Here is a 15,701-nt window from a genome sequence, read left to right as displayed (position 1 = left end):
CTTAACATGAGCATCTTAGTTTTGTGGTCTTCAGTTTTTAAAGGGATGCTCTGAAAACACTGTTCTGCAGTGCACTGTGCAACCTATTTCACTCCTGGGTTTAGCTGACCTCTTCTTGTGCTAAACTAACTAGGAAAATAAACTAGGACTGATTATCAGTCTCTTTACCTAAATCTTCCTTTTCTTCCCACACTGTAATCATGATTATTTCCCCAGACAGTCTCTATTTCTCTACATTGCACTGCCATAGACTACCCTATTAGCCCCCCTAAATGTAGCTCTTTTGGTTTGACTTTAGTAGTCAATGAAAGAAGGGGTACATCCCCAGTCTCACAGAAAGCACATACACACAGATTGAACACCAGAAACTGGTCTTTCAGTCTTCCATCTTGCCCAATATTTATTTTTTATTTAATATTTTTCATATTGTGCCATTTCCTCAGCATTTACTTACAAATTTAAGTTCCTTACATTAATAGGTTTTCCCTCATGTGAATTCTCTGGTGTTGACTAAGGTTTGAGCTCTGACTGAAGGCTCTTCCACACTCACTGCATTCATAGGGTTTTTCTCCAGTGTGAATTCTAAAGTGTCGAATAAGATGTGAGCTCACTCGGAAGGTTTTCCCACATTCACTACACTCGTAGGGTTTCTCTCTGGTGTGAATTCTCTGATGCCTGATAAGATGTGAGTTCAGGTTGAATGCTCTCCCACATTCTTTGCAACCAAAGGGTCTTTCCCCAGTGTGAATTCGCCGATGTCTAGTAAGATCTGAGCTCTCTGCAAAGCTTTTCCCACATTCATTACATTCATAGCATCTCTCTCCAGTGTGGATTCTCTGATGCCTAGCAAGTTTTGAGCTGTGCCTGAAAGCTTTCCCACATTCATTACACTGATGAGTTTTATCTCCACTGAAAACTGCTGCATGTTTAGCAAGTTTTGGGCTCTTGAAAGATTTTCCATATTGGTGATTTTTTTCTCCAGCATAAATTATTTGATGGTTAATAAAATCTGAGTTCCATTTGAAGCTCTGGTCACAGGTACCATGTTTACAAGATTTCTGGTGTGTGAATTCATTTGAGTTCAGATTTAATCTCCTCTCACATCCATCGTGGCTTATTATTTCACCTCTGACTGTATTTTTGTGGGTGAGGATTTTACCAAAACCTTCATCCTGGGCAGACGAGAGTCTCTGAGACTCCCCTGATTCTTTTTCCCATTGTCTCTTTACCCTGCCTGCAGACTTACAGATGTCTTGAGACTCACCAGATGCTTCTGATATGTATCCTGAGATTCTTCCAGATATAATTCTCTGTGATTCAATTTTTTCAAAAATTTCCAGCTTTGGCATGGATCTACTGTTTTCACTCTCATTATCTAAAATAAAAAAGAAAGGGAAATATTACCTGTTTGCTGCACGAAAAGAAAATTTTATAGCATGCTCAAGATAGTTACATATTGATATGCCCACTTTAATATATGACCTTTCACATGAGAGGAATGATAGAATGAAAGAGGATGATAGGAATGAAAGAAACATTGGTAAGAGCAAGTAATGCCTGCAGTGGTTGGCAGAGAGAGGAATCAGACGTGAAGCATATATATTAGAAAAGATTGGGAGGATTGTCATCAGCAAGAACTCAAGAGATAGGGGGAGATAGAGTACGGAGAAGGAACTCTACAATGTTGACTGCAGCAGATCTTGGGAACCTTGGGTCTATGATACATTTCTAGAGGGAAAATGGAGGCACTACCTCAAAGAAAGCAGATGAGAACACAAGAGAGAAAAGTAAAGCTATAAGTGACTGTGAAGTATGTGTGAGAAAACTTCCATCCACCTATTGTCTATTTCTTCCTCATATTCCATGGTTAATCAGTCTTCTAAATTCTGTCATCACTGTCCACTAAGTGTCCCTTGTATAAATCCCTTCCTTTATATTTCTGCTACCATCGCCATAGTCTCGAACCTTACCATTTCCTATCTAGACTTTAACTGCCTCCTTGCTGTTTTGACTCTGCACTTTTCTTCTTCCTAGTTATCCTAAAGATCCTTACTAGACTAATGGTCATTAAACACTGCCATCCTTTCATACCCTACTCAAAAACCTTGAATCTCTCTCTCTCTTTTTTTGTTCAAGTCTAAATTCCCAAGCCTGGTTTCCAAGATCCATTTATGATCCAGTCTTCACAAATCCCACTCTATACTGTGCTGGAATTGAACCGCCCTTCTTTATTATAAGCTGTCCTTTGTCTACAATACGCTAGGGCAGGAAAGAGGGTTAGGGAGTGCTGTTCATGGGGTGAGGGAAATTTACAATTTTATATACGACAGATGGAGATGTTTCCAGAACAAAACTGAAGGCAGAATATGTAGAAATTTATTAAAAATTAATTGTGGCCAGGCTCCGTGGCTCATGTCTGTAATCCCAGCACTCTGGGAGGCCAAGGCGGGCGGATCACGAAGTCAGGAGTTTGAGACCAGCCTGGCCAACATGGTGAAACCCCGTCTCTACTAAAAATACAAAAATTAGCCGGGCATGGTGGCAGGCACATGTAATCTCAGCTACTCGGGAGGCTGAGGCAGGATAATTGCTTGAACCCAGGAGGTGGAGGTTGCAGTGAGCTGAGATCACGCCACTGCACTCCAGCCTAGGTGACAGAGCAAGACTCTGTGTCAGGAAAAACAAAACAAAACAAAACAAACAAACCAAAAAATTAACGGTAAGTTATTCTTGGGTTTACTATAGGGACAATTCACACCTTAAGTGATACTGCATCTATGAATCTTTTAAATAGATGAGTTTTAGAACAGAGATGAGTATTCTGTGGAAGTAGTCTCTAGAACTATAGCTAACTTTCTATAAAAGTGTAAAAGAGCTTTATAAGACCAAGAGCATAACAGGAAAAATATGGATCACGGTCTATGTTACTTGTGAATTATATACTATTTCTCAGTATATCATCATGTATCTGTTTCTCTTGATCATTATATGTACTTCTCTATGAACATATTTTGCTTCTGTCCATGTATTTCTTTTTCTTTTCCTTCTTTTCTCTTTTCATGATATTTTCTCAACTCATTCACTTTTATTTCCTTTAATTTGGTCATATCATAAAAATGTTCTGTGTTTTGGAAATATTCTGGATAAGGAACAAAATTATCTTTTCCCCTACCATTGGCCAAAGACTCACAGGAAAACAAGTTCTCTCTCTCTTTTTTTTTTCCTTTATGAGATGGAGTCTTGCTCTGTCGCCCAGGCTGGAGTGCAGTGGCGCAGTCTCAGCTCACTGCAAGCTCCGCCTCCCAGGTTCACGCCATTCTCCTGCCTCAGCCTTCCGAGTAGCTGGGACTACAGGTGCTACGGCTAATTTTTTGTATTTTTAGTAGAGATGGGGTTTCACCATGTTAGCCAGGATGGTCTTGATCTCCTGACCTCGTGATCCACCTGCCTTGGCCTCCCAAAGTGCTGGGATTACAGGAGTGAGCCACCGCACCTGGCCACAAGTTCTCTCTTTTCATTGGGTAATAAAGGAAAGGACCATCTACAGTTACCAAGACTAGTTTGTGGAGGGAGATTCATTCCCCTGTTTCTTTAGTGATGTGCACTATATGGCATTCTGCCCCTCACCACAGTCCCATAGGAGCTGGGGTTCTGATGAATCAAAATGGGCCTTGGTCTCCACTGGCTGTAACTTGACATTAAGTGCTGGTCCAGGAGGTGACACTTTTTTCTGGAATATTTCTTGTCCATGTTCATGGGCTTGAACCTGAGAAAAATAAAGTACATTTGGGCTTATAAAAGAATCCCTGTGTTAAACGTCTTCTAACAACAAAGAGAAACTCCCATAGAAATGCAAAACTGGGGAAGGAAGAATCGAGTCTGATTTAATTGTAAAATGTAGTGTGGAATCAAACAGACAGGAAAGGAGACATAAATGCACACTGAACCAACAGCTCCTGCAAGCTAGATATGCAATCTCGGGCCTCTCCTCCCACCGTGGAACTTTATCCATTATGGAGGTCTTAGATCTCCCATCCCCTGTGCACCTGGAGTACTGCTTCATCAGTGCCTCTCTCCAAATCTTCTAGTATGGTCACTGCCTCCTCTCCACTCTCTGGGTAATGTTCATGTACCCAGGCCTGCAAATCTCCTGGCAGGATGGTCAGGAACTGCTCTAGCACCAGCAGTTCCAGAATCTGTTCCTTGGTATGGATCTCTGGCTTCAGCCACTGACAGCAGAGCTCCCGGAGGCGGCTCAGTGCCTCGCGAGGTCCAGGAGAATCCTGGTAGCAGAACTGCCTAAAAAGCTGCCTGCAGAGCTCCTGCTTAAGGAGTTCACTTCTCTGTAAGCAAGTGTCCTGCCCATGGATAAATTCTTCCTCTTCTATCTTCACTATCAGAAGTCCTTCATCCTCTGGAGAGTTCTGGGCTGCAGCTTTCTTTGGTTCTGTAGCCATCTGTGGATAGAATATATTATCAGAACTGCTTTGGAAAGGGTCTTCTTTAGTTTCAAGAGTCCTCCTGAGGGATCAAAAGTTACTATTACTGTCTAAGAAGATGAAAGACCACATAATAAAAATCGTCATTCTCCATTACACAAAAATTTACTGGGCATTTACTATATGCAAAAGCACTGACATACTTGGTTTCTAGAATACAACTGTTAATGATTTCTACTTCAAGATAGCTTAATTTTTAAATTTAAAAATAAGATAAATTAGAAACAATAAACTTAAATGTAATGCTAAATATTAACAATGTACATGTTATTAAATTTTAAAAGTCACAGAGAAAATAAGGATAAAAAAGAAAAATGATAGAAGTGCTTCATAAAATAGGAGATGAGAAAAATACAGATGGTTGCAATGGTCAAGGGAAGCTTAATGCAAACATGAAATTCTGAAGAATAGAAAAGATTTGACTAGGATGTGGGAGGGAAAGAAATAGGAAATTACGAACAGAGAAACAGTCTGAACAATTGGGTAAGAGTAGGAATACAGAAGAGGGAAAGCAAAACGTTTAGTAGGTTTGTATAAGAAAATTATAGAGGCAAAGCTTGGAGATGTTATTGTAGAAAACATCAACTGTGAAGTTCATGAATTTGGAGTTTATCTTTTAGGCACTGGGGAGTCACTGAAGAGGAGTCAATTCTTCTGAGCAGAATGACCTGCTAAACACTGTGGAGATGAATATGTTCTTCATTTCTAGGGTGGGTGGCAATATGAAAAGATAGAGGCCACTGTATTCATGCAAGTATGAGGTTCTTTTTTTTGTTTTTTGAGAGGGAGTCTTACTCTATCACCCAGGCTGGAGTGCAATGGCGCGATCTCGGCTCACTGCAACCTCCGCCTCCCAGGTTCAAGTGATTCTCCTTCCTCAGCCTCCTGAGTAGCTAGGATTTCAGATGCACACCGCCACACCTGGCTAATTTTTTGTATTTTTAGTAGAGATGTGGTTTCACCATGTTGGCCAAGCTGGTCTCAAACTCCTGACCTTGTGATCTGCCCACTGCCCATCTCAGCCTCCCAAATTGCTGGGATTACAGGTGTGAGCCACCGTGCCCGGCCTGAGGTTCTTTTACTAAACATTTCACTAAGTTGACTACTGACTGATGCAATAACACACATTTTATTAAGAATCTTATCACAAGCAAAGCATTGGGCTAGAAGTTGTACAGCAATGGTTTACAAGAAAGTCTGAATATGACACTGGGCTTGCTGCCTAATCATCATATGGGATCTTTGGTAGAAACAGGTTCTTGGGCCCTACCTCTGGAGATGCAGACTAGGGGCCTGCTCCTAGAGATGGTAACTTGGTCAGTATAGTATATGCCTGGAAAATCTGTATTCTAATATACAGCTTAATGGATTAAACAAAAAGTCTTTGAGTTTGAAGAATAGAAAAGATTTGACAAGGATGCGGGAGAGAAAGAAATAAATTCAGTGGGAAGAACTAGTTGGGAAGAAATTATAAAACATGGATACAAAAGATTTAAATGAGAAAACGTTTCACATGACATATACATTGTACATGTTTGTTAAATGTTGAATGTTGAAGTATAAAATGAGTTTATGGTGGAGATACTGAATGTTCTAACGGTCCTGAGGTGGGAAGAGACTGTGAATGGTAGAAGGTATTTCCTAGAGGTGGTGGGTATTAGAAATAAATTTTCGGTGCAGCAAAAGAAATAGCACTCGAACATGAATTTTCTCATCAAGGCAATTTTGCTTCTATAGAAAGGTGTGTCTCGCAGATGGAGCAATGGTGAGAGCATACCTGATCAAGGGAGAGGAAGGGGTTCTTATCTCTGACGCAGGTAGTCCCTACTGCTATGTCGTTCCCCTATTGGCTAGGGTTGGACTGCATAGTCTAAGCTAATTCCAACTGGCTGTTTTAAAGAAAGCAGGGGTATGAACCACAGTGGCGGGGTGAGCAGTTTCAGTGGGAAGGACGGTTACAGAACAGGCGATTAAAGGTGATGCAGGTCAGAGCAGATGACCAGGGGTGACTCAGGACAGAGCAGGTGACCAGGGGAATAGATGTGAACTACTGATTGGAACTGGTGGAAAAGGTTGTTTACTGAAACTAGGGGCAAGGAGATGAGGTTAAACTTTAAAGTGGAGAACAAAGAACTGAACATACTGACATACTGATTCTTTGAAGAGAAATTTAGAACTCACTGTATTTAACATGGGGCTTAAATTGGACAATAAAGGATGAGAAAGATTCAGAAAGGAAAGGAACAGAGTAGAGGAAGTAGGAATGAGCAGCAGACTGATGGTGAGATCAACTTGCAGGGTGTGATGGCTGGAGTGACTAAGAATTCTACTGCCTCTGTTAAGAAATTGCTCAACTCTAGTCTGAGTTCTTACAATTCCTAACACATACACATATGAATATATAAGTCCTTGTATTATTTTTAGTTGTTTGGCTGTTTTTTTATCAACTGATTGATGTTCCATGAGGTTAAGGATCATGCATTATTAATTGTTCTTAAGGCTTCATATTTATGATTGAAAGGAAAAATTAGGAAAGTTTCAGATGACTTCTGTTTTGGATGATCTGTATTTAAGATGATAATAAGACATCTACTTGGAAAAATATTTCCAACAGAAACAATGATATTTCAATAATGGAAAAGAATTTGGAATGGGAAGACAGATTTTGACAAGTGTTGGGAACAGGCCCCCAAATCTGGCCATAAACTGGCCCCAAAACTGGCCATGAACAAAATCTCTGCAGCACTGTGACATGCTCATGATGGCCTTGACGCCCACGCTGGAAGGTTGTCAGTTTACTGGAATGAGGGCAAGGAACACCTGGCCCACCCAGGGCAGAAAACAATAGCATGAGCGATCTGTGCCTTAAGGACATGTTCATGCTGCAGATAACTAGCCAGAGCCCATCCCTTTATTTCGGCCCATCCCTTTATTTCCCGTAAGGAATACTTTCAGTAAATCTTATCACTGGCTTGCTGTCAATAAATAAGTGGGTAAATCTCTGTTCAAGGCTCTCAGCTCTGAAGGCTGTGAGACCCCTCATTTCCCACTCCACACTCTATATTTCTGTGTGTGTCTTTAATTCCTCTAGCGCCACTGGGTTAGGGTCTCCATGACCGAGCTTGTCTTGGCAGACAAGATTCATGAAAAGGGTAGTTGAAGATATGTAACAGTATTAATTCTCCAAGAGTATGAAATAAATATCACTAGGTTCAGACTGAACCTTGGAAAACAAACAATTTGAGTATAAGTAAGAACAAAATTTATCAATGATAAAGAAAAAAAAGGGGGGTTAGTTCCATGGTATATTAACCAGAGAGTCTCAATCCCTTATATTTTACTGGGCCATTTCTTTGATATTTCTGGTTATGTTTCCTAGATGCGCTAACCAAGTAGTGTCCTAATGCTTAATGAGCATGATCTCATTTACCATAGTAAGATGGGTGTAAAGTAGGCCCATATAATCCGAATGAAATTTCAATTATGCTGAGCAGCTGGTTCTATGACATGTTATCTCAGCTGACAGTACTATCTCCAGGTGTTTTATCACTTCTCATCTATTTAAAACCGAGTCCCCCTAAAGCTGGTAGCTTTAAACTAATAAATATTGATTGAGCATCTAGTGCCTTATAATATTGTGTTAGGAGGACTTACAAAAATGGGTAAGCAGATGTGTGAAGAAACGCTAGGAGAACAGAGAGGAACGAGTAATTAATTATGATGAGAAAGTTGGAGGTTAAAGAGCAGGGCTCCTGATGGATGAACATGTCTTGGTGGGCATGTTGCGGGAGGGGAAGACGGGTGAGAGTTTTGTTGGTGGAGAGGGAGACAGTCAGGGGAAATCCGGTAGAGACCACAAAGCAGAACAGAGACTTCAAGGGGCATGCTGGTAAAGGCTCCCATAGTACCTTGTGTTTCTCAAGGGCAGGGGGTCAGTGTTGGTTTAACTGCATCCTCGGCACACAGGAAATACTATTTACCGTGTCAATAAATTTCAGGACAAGCGGGGTTGTCCCCAAGTGTCCTACAAAACGGCGGTTACTCTTCCCAAGGGAAGCAGGGGATTGGGGATGGTCCTCGCAGCAGTTTCTTTTCGCAGACAATGGCAGATCTGAGACATGTGGCACCCCTCCCCGTTCCACCTGGCTGGAATGGGCAACTCCTCTTACCAGTGACCCCAAATTCAGGATCAGTAGGACAGCCCCCACCCCACGCCACCAAGCCCTCAGCGCTCCACTATGACGTCACGCGCGGCGGCGGTAACTATGGAGACCGCCAAACCCTCACTAAATGCGTAAGCGCGCCTGCGTTCCCAACGCCGAAGCTGGTTCTACCTTTCTCCGGGATTCCTCTGAGGGCCAAGGTCTGGTCACCCAGAGGCTGCTAATTTCAAAGGCAATATGAGAGGGACTGGATGTTTGGAGGGGGACACGGGGCTGGACATCTGGATCCCCAAACCCGGACTCACCTCTCGGACAGGGCTGATTCCGATCGGACACTTCCGGTGGAAGGACTGAGCGGCGCTACACTTCAAGAATTCCGTCCACAGGGACTTGTGAGTCTGCGCAGAAGGCGGGATGCCTTTGGACTACAATTCCAAGAATCCTTCCTGGGTCTCTTCGGGCGCAGACTTTTCGCCAAAGTCCTGAAGATCTCAGGGCTTGAAGGAGGGGGCATCTTTTTTCTCCATTGTAGTAGTGTGTCTTGCTAAATAACAGAAGGGACTCCTGAAAAGAAAATGACGTTGGCCGGGCGCGGTGGCTCACGCCTGCAGTCCCAGCACTTTGGGAGGCCGAGACGGGCGGATCACGAGGTCAGGAGATCGAGACTATCCTGGTTTACGCGGTGACACCCTGTGTCTACTAAAAATACAAAAAAAAAAAAAAAAAAAAAAATTGCCGGGCGTGGTGGCACGCGCCTGTAGTTCCAGGTGCTCGGGAGGCTGAGGCAGGAGAATCGCTTGAACCCGGGAGGCGGAGCTTGCAGTGAGCCGAGACCGCGCCACTGCACTCCAGCTTGGGTGACAGAGTGAGACTCAGTCTCAGAAAAAGAAGAAGAAGAAAAAGATACACACTCGAGCACACATTTTCTCAGCAAAGCAATTTACTTCTATAGAAGGGTGCGTCTCACGGATGGAGCAATGGCGAGAGCACACCTGAACAAGGGAGGGGAAGGGGTTCTTATCCCTGACGCAGGTAGTCCCTAGTGCTGTGTCGTTCCCCTACTGGCTAGGGTTGGACCGCACAGTCTAAGTTAATTCCGATTGGCTATTTTAAAGAGAGCAGGGGTATGAGCCGGAGTGGTAGGGTGAGCAGTTTCAGTGGGAAGGACGGTTACGGAACAGGTGACTAAAGGTGACTCAGGTCAGAGCAGGTGACCAGGGGTGACTCAGGACGGAGCAGGTCACCAGGGGAACAGATGTGAACTACTGATTAGAACTGGTGGAAAAGGTTGTTTACTGAAACTAGAGGCAAGGAGACGAGGAAAATGAGGAAGTTAAAGTTTAAAATGGAGAACAAAGAATTGAACATACTGACATACTGATTCTTTGAAGAGAAATTTAGAACTCACTGTATTTAACAAGGAGTTCAAGGCCAGCCTGGCCAACATGGTGAAACCCCGTCTGTACTAAAAATATAAAAATTAGCTGGGTGTGGTGGTGGGCGCCTGTAGTCCCAGCTACTTGGGAGGCTAAGACAGAAGAATCGCTTGAACCCAGGAGGTGAAGGTTGCAGTGAGCTGAGATCACGCCACTGCACTCCAGCCTGGGCGACAGAGCAAGGATCCATCTCAAAAAAAAAAAAAAAAGTTTATTCGGGAATAGGAAATTGCAATAAGAATAGACGTGCCAGAGTAAACTATGTTTCTATTCAGGGAGGTAAAGGAAGACAAAGGTTTTTAAAGGAAGAATGGGGAGGATTATTTAATTGTTTTGAAATCATTATTCTTGACTACAAAGATCGGTAACGAGGATGACACCAGTCTGAGGTTAGACAAACAGTTGCTGGGCGGATGTCCTTGCAGAGGTATTTTTGGTGTAAGATGGGTTTTGCAGTCATATGTGATAGTTTTCTTATGAGGCATACAAGCCTGAGAAGTGTCTCTTCATAGCCCTCCCTGGCTCTATCTGTCAGATTATTGCTTTTGTTTTTATTTTTTAACACTAGTGGGCCGGGCGTGTTGGCTCACTTTTCTAATTCCCCGCTTTGGGAGGCAAAGGCAGGAGGATTAATTGAACTCAGGAGTTCGAGACCAGCCTGGGCAACATAGTTGGGACCTCGTCTCTACAAAAATTAAAAAAAAAAAAAATTAGTCGGGGGTTGTGGAATGCACTTGTACTCCCAGCTACTCGGGAGGCTGAGGTGGGAGGATCGCCTGAGCCCAGGAGGTGGTGGCTGCAATAGTGAGCTGTGATTGCACCACTGCATTCTAGCCTGAGTGACTCCTGCCTCTATTTAAATCTCAGGTGGTGAAATTGAAGCCCACGCAGCAGGGTTGCAACTGAAACTTCATCTCCTCTGCAAAACCTTCCTGCATTCCCAGACAACTTTTCTTCTGAGGCCTTGTTTGATTCATCCCCTTACCCCAGTGGAACTCAGATATTCAAAATGGTATTAATTAAAACCACTGGCTGTCATTGGTCCATGCATGGCCTTAAAGTGTGAACATTTTTTAATCCATTACCTAGTCTATAAGAACTGTAGATTGACAACAACTTAGATTTAATACTACTCTTTTTCTAGTCCCTCTCTATACTACCTCTCATCCGAGGAAACACTATCACAAATTTTGTATTTGTTGTTCCCTTGCTTTTTAACAAGATGATTCTATTAGATATGTACTGTTTTGTCCCCCAAAAGTGGTGGCAGGGGAGTTCACACAAGGGAGTGCCCAAAACCGTCCTAGTTGGGGCTGGTTGGGATTCCAAAGAAAGGAGCACTATGTGCCAAGGTGATCTGTCCAAAGCATTTATTAAGGGAACTTACATAGTGTTGCAGGAATCCTCCCCATGGGTGGTGAGAGAAAAGGGACATTCTACCTAGATATGTCTGCAGTGAGGGGGTCAGGGTATGGAGTTTATATAAGGGTTTAAAGAATTTGGCTCAGGGCCAGAGCTAGTTTCTTTCACTGTTTTCAGTGACAACTTAGATACCTTTATCAGTGCCTGGGAATGTTCAAGACCCAAGTTTGGGTTCAAGCATGCTGGGAAAAAATCTGCAGCTGGCTAGGTCACAGAGAGGTCAAGGCACTCTGATTTTCAGTCACAGAATAGTCAAGGCTCTGTGATTTCCAGTCAGAGATCCTGCAATCCATTTTCCTGACTGGCTCTTACAATCTCACATGCCCATCTCTTCCTATATGTTCCCTGAGCTGGTCAGAAAGGGTGGGATCATCGGCAATTTCTTTCCCCTGGCTTTATGAAACACTGCAAACAAAACCTACACTAACAGTAAATACAAGTGCACCTGACAAAATCTAAAATCACATTTTCCAAAAGGCTTCCTAGCAGAGCTTTCCACCAAGGACCCCATCCTGGAAAACATGACTTTGTGTAGACCACCAGGCATACCCTATGTGGTCAGTAAGCTGTAATTGCTTTCGTGAGTGAAGGACGGATTGATTAACTTCAGCTTCTTTGTCTAGAATATACACACAATGTTCACTTTTGTAAAGGGCACAGGTTCCCCCTTGCACAGATGTCAGCATCTCTAGGGCCATTTGGTTTTGTAGACCACTTTTTTCACTGCAGCTGTTTCAATGTTCAAGGCCTCCATACCATGTTTGGTGTTGTTCAAAGCTGTGGAGACAAATCTCTGAAGGGCTTCCAGCTTCTACACAGTATCAGAAGAACCTCCTGGAGGCACAAATATAGTCAATAAGTAATCCCACCAAGAAAAAACAGGTCTACTCCACTGACCTCTCCAGATGGACTCATTGAGGGATACAGGAATGGTGCCAGAGATTCTGGAGTCATCCAAGCCACCCCAGGGGAAGCCAGGGCTGGAGGTTAGTAGCAGAGAGCCACTGGGTGCCATCTGGGGCAATTCAGTATATTCCTGGCCTACAAGACTGTTTGTGACAAATCAATCTGTGACCTTAAGGATAATGGTGTGTTGGCATTGGGCAATTGGGAGGAAATCTAGGTACTAGGAGAATACCTTAGGTATTACCTGAATGTCTTTAGAGTGATTATGTTGTTCCCAACAGATCTATGCAACTCGAGAGCATCCTTGCTGTAAGGATGAGCTAAAGAAAGCCATCCCACATTTGCCAGTATGATCTCCATTGCCAGAACCTGGTGCTCTTCAGGGCAGTTTTCACTTTGATGGTTGCCTCCTATGGGACATGTTTAGGGAAAAACTTAAATTTTGTCTGTAGTTGTTCAATGTCCTATCTCAATCACTCACATTTGCATGTGTGGTGTTAGAGGAATCTAGGGTACCTATTTATATGCATTGTCCGGTCATCCAAGTTTGTACAGAGATCCAGTCTTTACCCAGTAGTGGCTCAGTCCACCATGGAGTTCCTACATGGCTATTCAAGGGCATAAGACCAAACACTCAGCAGTTAGGTTGGCCATGCAGATGGGCTGTGTGATGGCCCCAGGCCAGGAAAACATTTTGGAAGGATTTCCAGGTGCCAGTGGGAATGATATAACAGCAAAAGGAGAAGGCAACTCAAGCTAACAGTGAAATGACAAAAACTTATTAGAAACACATAGGGCGTCTCCCACTCTCTGGCATAATAAAGCTGGTATTAACTCTGCCTTGCTACAATAATTTTGGTTTCCTTGGGAATCTTCCAGGAGAGCTGTACCAGACCCTCTGCCCAGTGTGGGAGGAGTCGTAGACTCTACAGTGATAGGGGTGGATGACACCATACTGGTGTCACTTTGGTTCCCATTGGTATGGGGGCACTGCCTGCCCACTGCCATTGTGCCTCCCCAGACCCTTCATTGAAAAGGAAAGTGAGGGTCAGGTCCAGAGAGATAGTGGCCTCCTGCTTCAGGGGAATAAGGATACCAATCCAGTTTGGTGGCACTTTCCACCCCAGTTCCCATCTCAATGTTCCCTGCCCAGGCTTTATGGTCAAGAGACCAGTATCTGGTTGAAGCTTATCCTATGGTGGGGTCATGACCTTGGGCCAAGTGGTTCTTTCCAGCTGAGGGCAGTTTCTGGAGAGGGGCTGAGAGTGAGGACTGTCTGAAAAGGCTACTAGCAACAACACTCCCAGCAACTGGAGAAATGCATTCTTCAGTCCTGAAAGGGGATCTGGGAGGCACAGCATGGTGTTCAGTAGAGGTGAAAATTGGAGATATTCTCTTTCTTGGTCTTCCTTGTACTTAGGGCAAGGGCATGTGTTCTGTTTGACTAATCAAATACAGCCTTCCTGCAATTTGAATCAAGGATAGGTGGTACAAAGAACTAGAAGCAGTGGAAAATCTCTCTAGTAGTGGTGGCAGTGGCAAAAATGTCCAATTTGTGTATCAGCAGTGGCATCAAGCTAGCATAGGCATCCAACATCCAGGGCAGGCAGTGTCAGTGGCACAAGCTGTGAGACCCAGTGTTCAGTGACAATAACTTTGTTGGTCAGCCCCTGAGATGGTTCTATATGTTGTTTTGGCTGTGGGCCTCTCAGTCTAGTTCTCCAACCCTTCCAGCAATTTTTCAACTACCCAACTCTATCTCTATCTTTTAAATCTCTGCTTCTCCCTGTAAATTATTATATCATATAAAATGGTTGAAAATATTTTTTACCAAGTTTGAAGAGATATTTTGGATTGTATGACTTAAAATTGGGATATACAGCATATGAAAAAATGCACTTTTTCAGGGCTCTGGGAGACATTGTAGACACACAAAACAGCCAGTTAAATCAGATACGAGCTCCAAATCAAAAGCCACAAAGGCATAAGCTTTCATTACAGATATAGTCTACATATAGATAACTTTATGCATAGTCCAGAGTAAATGACAAATACAGAATTTTAAGCATTAAAATGACATTAATAGTACGCCAGACAATTCTTGGAAGACTAGCATGAAGATTTGTATAGATATAGATGTAGACATAAATTTCACTTTTTACACGTGGGAATACAGACAAATTGTAGGAAATATATACAATATAATCATAAAATGTGCATAGGTGCAAAACATCAGAATGAGAAATAACTCTATCCCTCACTCTCATCAGTCTCTAATGTAGACTCTACTACATTCAGGTTGATTTTTTCAATTGTTTATTCATACTAACATACCATGCTACCTCTTACCCACAAACCTTCCTTGTGTGTTTTGAATATTGTTATCATTCGTATGTAAAACGTACCCATGTTCAGGACCCAGATTAACTGTCATCTTTTTCCTGAAGCTGTATTTGACCTTGTAAGCCCTCACCAATATCCTCTCTCTTTGACTTCACATTGCAGCTATGATTCGAATCTTTCATTACATAGTAATTTTATTCTACAGTGTTTTTTATGCACGACAACATGGCTACCTACTCAAGTCCACTCTGGGAGGAGAGCAGTCCTGGGAAAATGCTCCATTTTGTGCTCCGTGTGGTATATTCACATATTTATCTGAGCTGCATGTGATGTCTTAGTGATACATTCAAATGTTTATTTCATATTTTTATTGTGATTTTTAGGGACTTTATATATAAATAGTTGCCCACATCAATAATATCTTAGGGAGCTCAAATTAATAATAAGATTATGTTACTCCTAGAGTTTGTAGTAAACTTAGGTTAGTAATAAGTCTAATTAGATATTTAATAACAGCTTTGCAATTATGATGAGAATGAAAATGATATTAAAATATGACTCCTGTTGAACTCCCTGCAGCCTGTATAAATCAGTGGGAGAAGATTTTTCTTTGGCTTAGGGTTTTTTTTTTTGTTTTTTTTTTTTTGAGACGGAGTCTCACTCTGTCGCCCAGGCCGGACTGCGGACTGCAGTGGCGCAATCTCGGCTCACTGCAAGCTCCGCTTCCCGGGTTCACGCCATTCTCCTGCCTCAGCCTCCCGAGTAGCTGGGACTACAGGCGCCCGCCACCGCGCCCGGCTAATTTTTTGTATTTTTAGTAGAGACGGGGTTTCACCTTGTTAGCCAGGATGGTCTCGATCTCCTGACCTCATGATCCACCCGCCTCGGCCTCCCAAAGTGCTGGGATTACAGGCGTGAGCCACCGCGCCCGG

The 15,701-nt window shown here is 42.9% G+C and overlaps 1 protein-coding gene across 6 annotated transcripts, besides 2 other annotated features; it reads right to left on the bottom strand.

The window, feature by feature from the left end:
* Positions 1 to 374: 374 nt before the first annotated feature.
* On the bottom strand, positions 375 to 9,656 carry ZNF165 (zinc finger protein 165). 6 transcript variants are annotated; one of them, NM_003447.4, is made up of 4 exons: positions 8,408 to 9,370; positions 4,047 to 4,457; positions 3,628 to 3,766; positions 375 to 1,375 (listed from the first exon to the last, which is right to left on the bottom strand). In NM_003447.4, exons 2-4 carry the CDS (start codon positions 4,455 to 4,457, stop codon positions 468 to 470), a joined length of 1,458 nt encoding a protein of 485 aa, NP_003438.1. In that variant the 5' UTR covers positions 8,408 to 9,370; the 3' UTR covers positions 375 to 467. The 6 variants fall into 6 exon arrangements, with proteins under 6 accessions (NP_003438.1, NP_001363422.1, NP_001363421.1 ...); NM_001376493.1 differs by having other exon boundaries at positions 8,480 to 9,370; NM_001376492.1 differs by having other exon boundaries at positions 8,669 to 9,370.
* Positions 8,925 to 9,044: an enhancer, noted in NCBI's record as "active region_24342". NCBI's record gives its function as "activates an Ori minimal core promoter by ATAC-STARR-seq in GM12878 lymphoblastoid cells {active_cell/tissue: GM12878}" and the evidence as "EXISTENCE:reporter gene assay evidence [ECO:0000049][PMID:35858748]".
* Positions 9,845 to 9,914: an enhancer, noted in NCBI's record as "active region_24341". NCBI's record gives its function as "activates an Ori minimal core promoter by ATAC-STARR-seq in GM12878 lymphoblastoid cells {active_cell/tissue: GM12878}" and the evidence as "EXISTENCE:reporter gene assay evidence [ECO:0000049][PMID:35858748]".

This window comes from Homo sapiens, chromosome 6, assembly GCF_000001405.40.
Source record: "Homo sapiens chromosome 6, GRCh38.p14 Primary Assembly".
Lineage (NCBI taxonomy): Eukaryota > Metazoa > Chordata > Mammalia > Primates > Hominidae > Homo > Homo sapiens.
Note: the sequence above shows the minus strand (reverse complement) of the source record. Positions and strands in the feature narration are given on the sequence as shown.

Coding starts and splice junctions, on each gene's coding strand:
- ZNF165 (NM_003447.4), bottom strand. CDS start 4,457: ATGGCTACAGAACCAAAGAAAGCTGCAGCCCAGAACTCTCCAGAGGAT. Junction 3,767..4,046: donor CTGATGAAGCAGTACTCCAG/GTGCACAGGGGA, acceptor TATTTTTCTCAG/GTTCAAGCCCATGAACATGG. Junction 1,376..3,627: donor CCAGCTCCTATGGGACTGTG/GTGAGGGGCAGA, acceptor TTTTTATTTTAG/ATAATGAGAGTGAAAACAGT.